At 40.4% G+C, this 13562-nt stretch overlaps 1 protein-coding gene across 5 annotated transcripts in view; it reads right to left on the bottom strand.

Moving 5' to 3' along the window:
* The window catches only part of ARHGEF26 (Rho guanine nucleotide exchange factor 26), a 136823-nt gene that overhangs the window by 10519 nt on the left and 112742 nt on the right, over nucleotides 1–13562 (bottom strand). For all 5 annotated transcript variants that reach the window (NM_001251962.2, NM_015595.4, NM_001251963.2 and 2 more), the window contains one exon: nucleotides 6728–6937. In NM_001251962.2, the coding sequence (NP_001238891.1) occupies nucleotides 6728–6937 (210 nt within the window). The remainder of the gene's footprint in view (nucleotides 1–6727; nucleotides 6938–13562) is intronic.

The raw sequence follows: 13562 nt of genomic DNA, 5'->3' as shown, positions 1-13562 counted from the left end.
TAACGCAAAAGAGTGTCAATAGTACCATTTACAGAAATGTGTGTGTCGGGGAAAGCCACGGGCAGTGTTGATGTTTGGTTTTGGACAGGCTGCATTTCTGAAGAGACAGAGAAGAGGAATGGTCATAGGTGTGAGAGGCAAACTAAGAGCATAGATAAGAGGCTGAGAAAAACATAATCTCAAAAAAAGGGTTAGCATGAAAGAGCTGGATGGTCAATAAAACTAAATGATACTAGAGGTAAAGAAAGGAAGATTGGACTGCTGGGTGTGAAACTAGGAAGCCTGTTAATCTGATGGAGAGGCCTCAACAGGGTGCCAGAGGAAGAAGTCACGCCAAGGTTGATTAAGAAACAACTCAACTAGCTAACAACTCACTGCACGTACCCCTACCTTGATTAAGAAACAACTCAAGCTAGCAGCTCACGCCAGCAGCTCACGCCAAAAATCTAAATATCATCGATTCCTCTCTTCCACTTACTGCCACCTCAACTCATCCAATCCATCAGTTGGTCCTGTTGTTTTTGTCTCCAAAATATAACATTTCTATCTCCTCCTACATATCACGGTCCAAGCCAACATCGGGACTCCCCTCGACTACTCCAACAGGATTAGGGTTAGGGTTCTTATTGTTTGCCCCACTGAAACTTCTGTCCCCAGGGCCCCTGTTGTTCCTGGAACTTCCTGCTATGGCTTATGTGGTTCTAAATCAGTGTTTCTCGAGATATCTCTGGTAGAGAACCAGTCTCCACCCCTTGAATCCATTGCAGACCAAGCATTTTTAGAAATACAGTAAAAATAAATTAATTGTTAAAATAATCACAAGTTTTGATGCCTCAGAAATGTCAAACTGCTTCCTACATACCAGGCTGGTAACTACTTGAGGACTGATGGCCCACAGACAGCACTGGGGTAGCTCTGAAGACAAACTGGACTTTGTTGCCCATTGACTGCCACCCCTCTCCCTGGTTTATTCTGCTCCAGCCACATTCTCCATGTTCAAGCCAAGTTTGAGAACACTAAATTCGTTTCCTTAGAGGTTTTGCACCTGCTGTTCCCTTTGGCTGAAACATTCTGACTCTGCATTTTCCTAAGGGTTGACTCCTCCTTTTCACTCAAGGCTCAAATATCACCTCTTAAGAGAGGTCTTTCTGCACCACCTAAGTTAGAGTACCTATCCTCACCACCCCCCAATTAGCACTCACTCCGGATCACATCACCAGCTTTAGGGTCTTCACTGCACTTACCACTACCTGAAATGATCCTTTATTTTTAACTGGATCATGAAGAAATACTTTCCCATCATCCTAGCTCATTGCAGACCATTTGCCCAGGCAGACTGGCCAAAGCTCCCTTCCATCCAAAGTCACCCTTCCTAAGAGCAGGAAGCCCAAGGGGATCGGTTCTTCACTTGGATATAAGCCTAAGAGCAGAGATCTGATCTCCGTATGGTTCACTGCTACATCCCAGCACTGAGAATAACACTTGATGGGAAGTAGGTGCCTGACAAAAATCCACTGAATTAATCTGGAGAAATGAAGGCCACTCTCTTGAGAAGTTCTGTAAAGGAAAGGAAGGATGTAGCAGGAGGCTGGGAGTTTGGAGTCATACAGTGGAGGGTGGGTGAGACAGAAAACATGAGGGGAAAAGTGAACTAATGAGTGGCACACACAGCGAGCACTGGGCATTCTCAAGATGAGACTGCAGTGTGCAGTACTGAGAGGCTCCTCAGCAGAGGAAAGGCTTGACATGGGCCCTAAGAGGAGCCATCTGGCCATCTGAGGAGGCCTGAAGAGGGCATTCCAGGAAGTATGAAAAACACAGGCAAAGGAACAAAAAAGGAAGTTTAACATGGAAAATAATTTTGGGGATGCAATATCTATTTAGCATTTTATCATAAAATATTCTAACCCATATGATATCCTAAATTTAACATCTAGGTTTCCACAATCTTTTTTCCTTTTTAAAGCCTACGGATTGAGGCCGGGCACAATGGCTCACGCCTGTAATCCTGGCACTTTTGGAAGCTGAGGCAGGCAAATCACTTGAGGTCAGGAGTTTTGAGACCAGCCTGGCCAACATGGTGAAACCCCGTCTCTACTAACAATAAAAAAATTAGCCAAGCATGGTGATAAGCACCTGTAATCCCAGCTCTTTGAGAGGCTGAGGCAGGAGAATCACTTGAACCCGTGAAGGGGAGGTTGCAGTGAGCCGAGATCGTGCCACTGCACTCCAGCCCCGGCGACAGAGTGAAACTCTGTCTTAATAAAATAAAATAAAAAATAATAAAGTCTTTGGACTTAAAAAATTCTATATTTTAGTAGTTTCTCACAGTTAATAGCGACTGACTTCCTGGAGGTTTCCTTCCAAATCCAGAACAAGCCAAACTGAGCAGCAAAGTGGGGGTGGAACAGCCTACTGGTTGGCAGCTTCTCCGTAAAAAGAATAAAATTTGTTACTAGAAAGACTGCTAGACTGTCAGGAAGGCCAGATTCTAGTTCCAGCTTTGGCAATAACTCACTTCCTGTATGGCCTTTGTGAGTCACTTCACATGGGGGAAGAAAATGAGAGAGTTGGACCATGTATATAATTATAAATATGTGTATATATTTATAATTTGTTATTGATAATATTTTGTTTTATGTAATATTATAATTATATATAATTAGGGTCACCATATATTTCATTGTATAAACGAGGACCTTTTGAGAGTCAAAAAGAGTATCATTCATAATTTCACCAGGACAACGGACCCAAACTTGAACAACTGATTCTGGGAAAACCAAGATGTCTGATCACTTCCCTATATGCTTTCTTCAGCTCAAAATTCTGTCCTCCTCTAGAAACACCCATGGGTCCCTTCGTCATGTTCTATAGCTGGCTCAGTGCCTGGCATATCCCAGATGCTCACTGTTTGCCCCAACTCCTTTTGGTGAGCATTTCTGCATTCTTTACGTAATCAAAGCCATTGATTTTTCTTCCACAATTTCACTGTCTTATGAAGTTGAATTGTCCTTGTGCCAAACAGCTGCACCCCTCCTACTGCTGATTTTACATGTTGTATATCCTCAGGTGGCCTTTAGTGACAACAGTTTTTCAAAGAAAGTAAAGATTTAGGTGTAAAATTCATTATTTTTCAGGTCAAAGAGTAAGTAGTGAAATTATATACCTGACTCTAAGTTCTTCAATTACTTAAGGCTAGAATGGTAGTGCAAACCTTGTTTTTTCAACTAGATTGCCAATGAACCATATTAACCAAAAAGACATAAAAGAAAGAAAACCTAAACAATATATACTTATTGATGCATTTCACAAATGTTGGAAGAAAATAACACATTCTATGCATATCAAAACTCTAATTGCTCAAAACTCGGTAGCCCAAAGCTAACCTGCATATTTGCAAACATGGCATGTAACAATTTGCCAGGTTTTTTAATAGTCTTTTTTATTTTTAAGGAAAGTGCGTCTTTAGTTGTTAAATATATTTTTTCAACACCAATACTATTTTATGTCTTGAAAGCATGTCCATTTATTTACTTCTCAACTGTAATTGAGGGTGGGGGTGGGGAGAGCAAAGAGAATGAGAGAGTCACTCCCTCTGTACCCAAGGAGACCTCTGTCCCATGCCCCTTCTGGAATGTTCTCTTGCTATTAATTAAATAACTACAAATATGAGTCAGACCTATGGGTTTCCAAGTGACATGACTAAATATTCTGAGAACATGTCTGATTGAGGAAACGAACAACCATTCAGTCTTTGGCAAGATTAAAAGGCAAAAGGATGGAACAAATGCTACAGAATGTCCCAGGAAAGGATCTAGCCTTGGCGTGAAATAAGCTGGACATGTCAGTTCACCTCCTACTCTCTTGGAATCATCTCAGAAATGAGTGGTGGAGACTACATAAATTATGAATGAGACAGTCAGGAAAATCTCTGTTGAGATGTTGGCAAGGCCTGAATAAAGAACAAACAATCCTTGTAAACCAAAGAAAAGGAAAACACAAGGCAAAACCAGCAACACTTTCACCATTACTAACTATACGGGGAAAGGGAAGTCTCTAGTTTCTGAGAATTCTCTGGAACACTGGAAAATTACTGATTTCCAAAGTGTTAAAGTCATTCTCATCCTTAAAGTCATATAAAATCCAAAGCACAGGCATACTAAAAATTCTGTTTTGAGGAGAAGTTTCCCCACACAAAGGAAGTCTAGTTTGTCCTCACTGGCCAAGAGGTTTAAACCACTTTTGGAGTTCAAGTAATGCCTCCCCTTGACCCTGGTCTTGGGTGTGTCACTTGCTGGTCACCTCACAGATCAGCAAGCACACGCCCACCCAAGCTCACCTCCCCACAGCCGCAAACACAGAGGGGCATGCTTGGAATGCCATCAGCGCTTTTCAGCACCTTTAGGGGAAGAACTCTGGGATCTCAGAGAAAGGCATTTGTTTGTTTTGTAAACAAACACATGAAGATGAAGCTCCCTTTTTTTTTTGATGGCTGCTGACTAGGGTGATGGTTGCTGAAGGTTTGGGTGGCTGTGGCCGTTTCTTAAGACCACAGTGAAGTTTGCTGCATCAATTGACTCTTTCATTCATGAAAGATTTCTGTATAGCATGCAATGCTGTTTGATAGTATTTTATCCTCTGCAGAACTTCTTGCAAAATTGGAGTCAATCGTCTCAAACTTTGCCACTGCTTTATCAATTCAGTTTACGGAATATTCTAAATCCTTTGTTGTCATTTCCACAATGCTCACAGCAACTTCACTTTCTTTGCTCATCCTGAAGAAGCAACTCCTCATTTGTTCAAGTTTTATTATGAGATTGCAGCAATTCAGTTGCATCTTCAGTCTCCATTTCTAAATCTAGTTCTCTCGCTATTTCCATTGCATCTGCAGTTGCTTCCTCCGCTGAAGTCTTGAACCCCTCAAAGTCATCCATGAGAGTTGGAATCAACTTTTCCCAACTCCTGTTCATGTTGATATGTTGATCTCCTCCCATGAAATTATGAATGTTTTTAATGACATCTACGATGGTGAATCTTTTCCAGAAGGCTTTTAATTTACTTTGCCCAGATCCATCAGAGGAACCACTGTCTATGGTAGCTGTAGCCTTATGAAATATATTTCTTTTTTCATTACCTTGGTGAACTCTCCAGCTCATTTGGAATATGCTACAGCTTTCACCAACCTGTCCTTGGTTTTTTCTCTAGCCTGTGAAATGCTACTTCTAGTGCCAAAAGATATGAAATAATTTGACATTTTATGTGGGTGCCTTGTAATTTTCACATTTTTCTTATGTCTCTTGACAAAGATTCTTGGCTTGGCCAAACTTCAGTTAGATTTCTGTACCTTCTCCTAGGCTCATCTGTACAGTTCTTCGTAAAATCCAGTTTTAGCAAAGAACCCTACTAAGTCAATTTGGCAAGAATATCCCCTACCCCATCCTCAATATCTGATAAGATTCATTATTCTCCATCATCCCAGAGGTTATGATGTCTAATTACCCTGGCCTGTCTTCAGCAAGAATCCTGTTTGGTTAGTTTAGCCAGAATAGCCCTTATCTCTGATATTTCCTCTCAGTAAGTTTCCATCCACTGACCTCCATCCTGCCCTATGGCTATGAATTCCCACTTGCCCATGCTGTGTTGGAAGTTGAGCCCAATCTCTCTCCCCTACTGGAGACGTTGCTGCAATGGTCCTTACGCCTGTTAAGATGACCTTGCATAAAGGCTGCGAAGCTTACTGCGCTTTAGCAAGTGTCCTTCAATAACTTTTCTTGAATATTCTCGTTAATCATCTAGGAACACTGTTAAAATCAGTCTTAAGGTGAAGATACCTCTTTGGGATCACTTTCTCTAAGATCTTGCTACAATTTTAGGGTTGTTATTCATCAGCTGCTGATCCATTTTAACCACACCATTTAGGAACCCTGGCAGACATGGAGTTGGAGGCAGGAATCTGAGAGGACAAAGAATTAGGGAACTTCTCCTTTCCCTCCACTGTTCCACTCTCTGACCCAATATAATATCTGCCCATGATGATTATTGCAAGAGGAAGTTTCCAGTTTCTAAACAAAAACATTGGTCAGTCATCTTTAAGTGGACCAAAAAATCACTAAGGTGGACTTGAAAGTTAACCCTCACTGCCACTCATCCAATGTGAGAACTAAGTGCACACTAACTGCTGGCGAAACTGCAGGCACCAACAGGACGCCTGTTTTGGTCGTGCATAAACTCTGGATTAGAAAGAGGATTTATCAGTATATTTCCGTAAACTGGGTAGCTCTTTTGACAGAAATCATTGGGCTTTCTGCTCTCTGGTTGAAGGTAGGTGACTGAGAAACGACCTGAATTCCATTACCTAAGAAGGCTTATGGCCTAGACTCAAAATACCAGTTGAGTCATATTCCTTAAGGATAGTGTATCATATTTTTGTCAATGAAAAAAGTAAAATGATTTTTAAACCACTCTATAAAAATAAAGACATCACCTAAAGCACAGTGCATCTATCAGGACTTATAGGGAAAAAATAACAACATCCTTCTCCTGTAAGAAGATTACAATGAAAAGAACAACATCTGTAAAAATTACCCAGTCATAGTGCTTAGCGAACAGTAGGTGCTCAACAAAAACATGAATAGTAGCTGCTGTTTTTAGGAAGTCTGTAAACCAAAGAAAATCAGGTCAGGGAGATACTATCAGCTATTCCAATCTTTTCCCCACATATACTTACTGCGTCTCAGCTCCTAGTAGCATCTCCACTTTCTCATTCGCGTGGTTACTAAGGACTGTCAGAGTAAAGAGGTGACTGGCAGAGCTCTGTCTTGAATAGAGCATTGTGGAGCTGTTCTTCCCTGGAGAAGAATTAAGCTCTTCATTGTCACAAGATTCCACCAATAGCTGATCTCTTAAGGAATAATCATTGACGTTGTAACTTTCTTCACTGTAAAGGAAAGGGAAAAGAACACGTCAATTATTCAGCAGATAAGACTGACATTGTCAGTTTTCGAGGCACATTTTGGTGGAAACAGCAAGGAGTGGGCAGGAAGGAGAGGGAAAGAATGACTTATTTTAAACTATGAATTGGAATTTGAATTCTATCTACTGATTATGAATCAATGTAACCCCCTCCAATTAAACCTAATTACTATTTTTATGGATGTAACACACTAAATTGCATCTCAAGTATTGACATCATCCTGGAACTGTTATAATAAGTGATCCTTGCATCCTTACATGCATCTTGGTCATGCTCCAGCAGGTGTACCTCCCCAGCTTCCACATCTCTATTTGCAGAATGAAGGAGGAGCCTTCTACTCATGCTCTGGGTAACAAGACCTCACCCCCCAAACCCCCCATCTCCAAATGACCATGCATTGAAGAGAAGAGCCCCAGAGGTCTGCTTGCTTCTGGCAAGACACCCAACCCATCCTTGTGTCCCACACTCAGAGCCTCACCACCTGTTTCACAAACCACCAGGACTAATCTCATTATGCCCTCCATTCCTGCTTAGGCTCAGGAACCCCAATATCCTTCTTTCTCCTGCACTCCCATTCCCATCGCACTGTGAACATGCCCAATCTGGCCCCACTTTTTTCCACTCCTCAGCTGGTTCCTGAACCCCTTCCACTGTACCCTCTGGGAATGCAATTCCCTCATTTAAGAAACTAGTAAAGTCTTCTAAATACTTGGCCTCGTCTCTGAACCCTCCCTTCACATTCTTGCCTTAAAAGAAACCTGGCTCTCCCTAGAGAACAAGGCGTCTCCTGAGAGCTCTCTGCCTGCTTGCTTTTTATTCCTGCTTCTATACAATGATCACTTCCTCCTCCTGAAACATCATCAGCTTTGAAGCTCATGGCATCAGTCTCTAACTCATAACTACAGTCATCTATAGACCCCTGGATCGTTTCCGATCCTCTCCCTTGAGTTTCACTGCTGGCTCTCTGTCTCTCTCCAACAATACTTCTTCATACACACACACACACACACACACACACACACACACACACACACTCTCTCTCTCTCTCTCTCTCTCTCTCTCTCTCTCTCTCCCTCTCTCTCTCGGTCATTTACATCAAGTCCCCAACACTACTTCTTTCTTGAAGTCTCCTGTAAAGGATCTTTCCATTACCCTGTACCCTCAATTCCCCGACTTTACTCTCCTCCGATGATCTTGTTTTCTGCCCTACTTCAGCCACAAATCCATGGTTATACCTTAGTCCTTGTCATTACCATCAACTACAAACTCTCTGTAATCCCAGTGTCAAACATACCACTCTCTAACCAGCATGGCCTTTCTTTCCAACTCACCTCCTCTAATCCTCAACACCAACCATTATTTAACTCACCAGTTCTTACAACCCATTGACTCTACAACCTTCCGCCTCCCCCCCTTAATTCCCTCATGTCCTCTTGTTCATGCATATTAAATTAGCTAGCTTGCATTTCTTGGTACCCAGTTAAATCACATCTTGCATACACATTCATCTCCTTGATTGTATTTGCCTGGCAAATCCCGAACCTGGTGACATACAGCTTTTCCTCTACTCTGCACCTGCACCCTTGCGAGTGAACATGAGAGTGCTCAATAAATAACTGTCACATAAGTGGATGAATATGCAATAAATTCTAATATACGCTAGGAATATCGAATAATTACCTCATTTAATAATAAATGCAAATGAATGATGTCAGGGGAGCTTAGAGAAAAGAAAACTCCTTGTGCCTAGTCCAGTACACTAGGAGGAATTTCAGAACAGGCCACTTTGCTCAAGATTTCCTGGAATTTATTTTCCTCAGAATGGACATCTACCTGTCAACCACTCTTTTGTCATGCTCCTTGAAAAACTTTATAATCTTTTCTAAAATTTGGTTTGATAGATTCTGCCCTCAAAAAACAGCAAATGCAGTTATCTATAAAAGCAAAATATTGCCTTCTGATCAAGCCTAATTGTTCCTAGGATAGTAATCTGTATTAATTAAAAGATTGTGTGGCACGATTATCTCCAAAGTTCTCCTGAGACTGCCTACAGACCAGCACACCCACACTTGGATATGTCAAATATTTCTCACATCCAAAATGAGACTTATCAAAGTAGACATGATGTTTATAAAAAGAGGAAGGTGAATAATACGCTTTACAAACAAATACGGTCATTTTTTAAAAGACTATGTTTACTAGAAACAAAGCAGTCAATTTTTAGCAACACAGAACAAGTTTATCATGTTGTATAGATACTATATCAGACATGCATTGAACAGCATAGGACTCAGGATAAAAACCAAAACCAGGATAAAACAGCAAACATAACAAAACCTCAACAACAACAGCATCAAAAACAAGAGAAAAAGAGGATGAACTGAGGCTTCTTTGTTACTATTTTCTCTCTGCCCCTTATGATTACTCTTTTGGTCCAATTTACAAGTTAAAAAACCTGTTAGTCAAAGGCACCTGTTTCTGTTTAAAAACAATTCTGCTTCAGAAAGAGAAATGGAAGCAACCTAATATTGTGAACATGGGGTAAGGCCCTAAACAATGACATGTGTGTAGGCGTTGTAGGTATTTCCAAAGAAATAAAAGTCAAAGAAATGAATATGCTATAAAGTCATCATTTGAGATGACTCAAATTCGAAAATGTTGTCAACATAAAGTGGTTTCACCTATCAAGTCATCCCAATAGAATTCAAAACCAAGGGTTCACAGAAAATGAATATAAGCTAATATGAATAAACTAGTTAAGTGTGTGTGTGTGTGTGTGTGTGTGTGTGTGTGTGACGGAGTCTCACTCTGTCACCCAGGCTGGAGTGCAGTGGTGCACTCTCAGCTCACTGCAACCTCCGCCTGCCAGGTTTAAGTGATTCTCCTGCCTCAGCCTCCCGTGTAGCTGGGATTACAGGCATGCACCACCATGCCTGGTTAATTTTTGTATTTTTAGTAGAGACAGGGTTTCACCATGTTGGCCATGCTGGTCTGGAACTCTTGACCTCAAGTAATCGGCCTCCCAAAGTGCTGGGATTACAGGCCTGATCCACCACACCCAGCCAGCTTCTTTTTCAATTTTCAGTCATAAATGCTTTAATTTCTTGTCTTTGGGGGATAAAGACAGAAGTAGATACTTTTTTAAAATGTTTATTAATTGTTCTCTTAAGCAATGACAACTACAATGCCACTGATTAAGACCCAGGATGGCTGCTGGGCTCAGTTTATGCCTGTAGTCCTCTCAAATGTCCAGTTTGAATGATAAACTGTGGCTGCCCTAATCACAGCTATATGATTTCACCTCAAGTGTTTATTTCCACACATCTGCATAGTTGTGTCATTGAATATGCCTGAACAAGGAACTTGGCCCACTGGACTTCTGGGTCCAAAACAAAATGCAGGAAACATGTTGGCCTTTTTGTTTGTTTTTAAAGTAATTTACTATCACCCAATATCCAATATCATTACTTCGTCTAGGCCAGTAAACTTCTGCATTATGCAATAAATAATGTAGGTCTTTACACCTTCCTTACTGCTCTTTTAGGAAATCTACTATAAAAAGAAACAATTCCATTTAACAGTAGTGCTTCAGTAGAAAGAGGAGCAGAAACTCTATAGCCAGGTGCAGCTGTTTAAAGCCCGTTTCCCATCTCTGCTTATTTACCCCATGTCCAATAAGTATGGAGCAGGCTAAACAGGGTTGGGAAAGAAACCCCCTTCCTGAGGGAAGCTGATGCTAATCAGACTTCCCCATGTTTGTCTCTATCGTTTAACAAACATATGGTTTATATAGTCTCTGAAACAATTTGGAACATGTAATGAGGAAGTTAAAGTGCTCAGAAAAGGGCAAATGGAAAAACCATCTTTCCTTGCATGGAGAAGTTTATATGGAGACTTCCTTTGATTGTCTTATATGTGCTCCAAGTTTACCAGCTGCTCATCAAGGCGTCTGCTTTGTGCAAGCAGCAGCTCCTATCAGGTGCTTCAACTGAATCAAATCTATATAAGTCTGTTGCTTGAAGTGTAAACAGTGATGGGTTCCTCTGTTGAAATCCACTTAAGGTCCTAGTAACCTTTGTTGAGATTTCTTTCTTTTCTTGTTTTTAACAAAATAAAGAACTACTAGTAGAGAACAGGATATGATGGTAAATACATATTCTGATTGTTTTTTTCTTCTCTGGAGGGCATTCTTTGTTAAGCAGGTCAGTGTTTGGTTCTACTATACGCAACATAACATCAAAGGCAGAAAAATGATATACCTTATTATCAACAGTGGCTTTCTTAAGGAGATTATTATGAAGCCCTTTAAGTTTCTGTCCCATAATTTCTATAAAGGTTAGAATTTTCATTCTGAGCATATATTTATTACTTTGAAATCAGGAAGACATTTAAAAATTTGCATACAACTTGCATACATTTTAAAAATACTAAAGCTCCATATATGTATCTGCAGTAGTTAGCACAAGAATAAAGAGATGCCAACTTCAGCGGAGCAGGTACTCTGGAGAAGAGGAGGAAGAAGGGCTGAGGGTGGAAGGACTTTGGGTAATCTGAAGTGTTTTATATATTTTTTTTTGTTTAAAAAGGAGGGATCTGACACTAATACGGCAAAAAGTATCTGTTAAGTATGGATGATAGGTATGTTCATGTTTGATAATTTTCTGCAAGGTTGAACCATTTTACAAGTAAAAGTAAAAAACAAGAATTTCATCAAAAATACATAGATATGACAGCTATCATCACTCTAGGTGTCTGTGGCTGCTTAAGGATGCAACTGAAGTGACTACCTGATAGTGGAATGTCTTTTCTGCCCTCTAACAACTAACTCTTTGCAGATGACATCATTGACTGAAAATATACTACCAAGTGAGAGTGAATTCAGTAAAGTGATTAGGTGTTAAAAAATGGCTTTTGTATATATGAATAACACCCAGTTAGAATATAAAATGAAGATGTCACTTTATTTATGACAAAACCCACTTTATGACAAAACCCACAAAACCCTTAATATGGATTAAACTTAACAGGTTTCTTCTATATGTAGATAACCTTAAACAACTTTAGAAGAAGGCCCAAATTAATGAATAGAAAAGCTTGATATTATCAAGATACCAATTCCTCCTAAATTAATACATAATTTAAACACAACCCAGTGAAAACACAAGCAAGGGTTTTTTGAGAGATGGCAGGGAGTAGAAATAGTTGAGTTGATTGTAAAACACGGAAAAAAAATAAACATGCAGAAATAGCCAGAAAGATTGTGGAAAAAAAAAAGAATAAACTAGCCTTATGATGTATTAAAACATACTGTAGGGAGGCCAAGGCGGGCGGATCACAAGGTCAGGAGATCGAGACCATCCTGGATAACACGGTGAAACCCCGTCTCTAAAAATACAAAAAATTAGCCGGGCGCGGTGGTGAGCGCCTGTAGTCCCAGCTACTCAGGAGGCTGAGGCAGAAGAATGGCGTGAACCTGAGAGGCGGACCTTGCAGTGAGCCGAGATTGCGCCACCGCACTCCAGCCTGGGCGACAAAGTGAGACTCCGCTTCAAAAAAAATTAAAATTAAAATTAAAAAATTAAAAAATAAACATACTGTAAAGCTGCAGAAATTCAAAGACTGGGACAAGGGCACGAGTTGACTGATGAATTGTGAAGCAGAATAGTGGGTTTGCGAGTTGACACAGACATGTCTGGGGATATAGAGGTGACATTTCAAATCTCTAAAAAAATTAATGGGTTAATCAATAAATAATATTGGGACATTTGGGGAAACATATCAAATATTTTTTTAAAATGTTGATCCCAATCTCACTCCTTAAACCAGGATATTTCCTTGGACCCAAGCTCTGGGTACATAAAGAGTTGTGAAGAAAAACTAAGTGACAAGACAGGTCTTTCTGCTGGATACAGACCTTTAACGGCCTGCCTTGTGGTCAGAGAGGTGCTGTTAAACATGTACATACCTTAGGGCAAGTTCTCATCTTAATCCTTATTAGCAAGCATTTTAGATACTTAATACGGATGAACAGGAATGGAAAATAGGCTAGCTTACCAAGATGCACCCAGGATAGTGAAAGGAAGGATGGTGATGGGGAGGCAAGGGAAAGGGTTAGACTGCACAAGCCAGCTTTCCCACAACCCACGTCTCTCAGCCCCAGCTGTAGGTGTAACTCTCACGTACCCGCTTACATTGTTTTAAAACTCTGTTTTATGGCCCAAATCCGACAGATGGAAACCCAAGCAGCACTTCCAGTTCTTCCTTTTGTAAAAAGGTTTAATTTAAAAGAAAAGATGCTATTGAGATTTATCACATCATTGATATTCATATGATTTTTGGCATATATTCTCAAGATAGTGACATTTATTTTTTACCTATTCAGTAGTTTCCTTTCCATAGGCTTTAGAACATTCACATAGCTTTTCTGTCCCGAAAAAAATATTTACTAGAATGTGCTGGTGCCACAACAAATGTTTCCTGAGTTAGCAGCTGCCTGCGTTTTTTCAGACCCTTGTGCTTACAGGCCAGTGAAATGGCTTCCGAAGGCCACCATGGCCCATCACCCCACCAAATTAAACACCTGGATTTC

The sequence above is a fragment of the Homo sapiens genome, chromosome 3 (assembly GCF_000001405.40).
Source record: "Homo sapiens chromosome 3, GRCh38.p14 Primary Assembly".
NCBI classification, from domain to species: Eukaryota; Metazoa; Chordata; class Mammalia; order Primates; family Hominidae; genus Homo; species Homo sapiens.
Note: the sequence above shows the minus strand (reverse complement) of the source record. Positions and strands in the feature narration are given on the sequence as shown.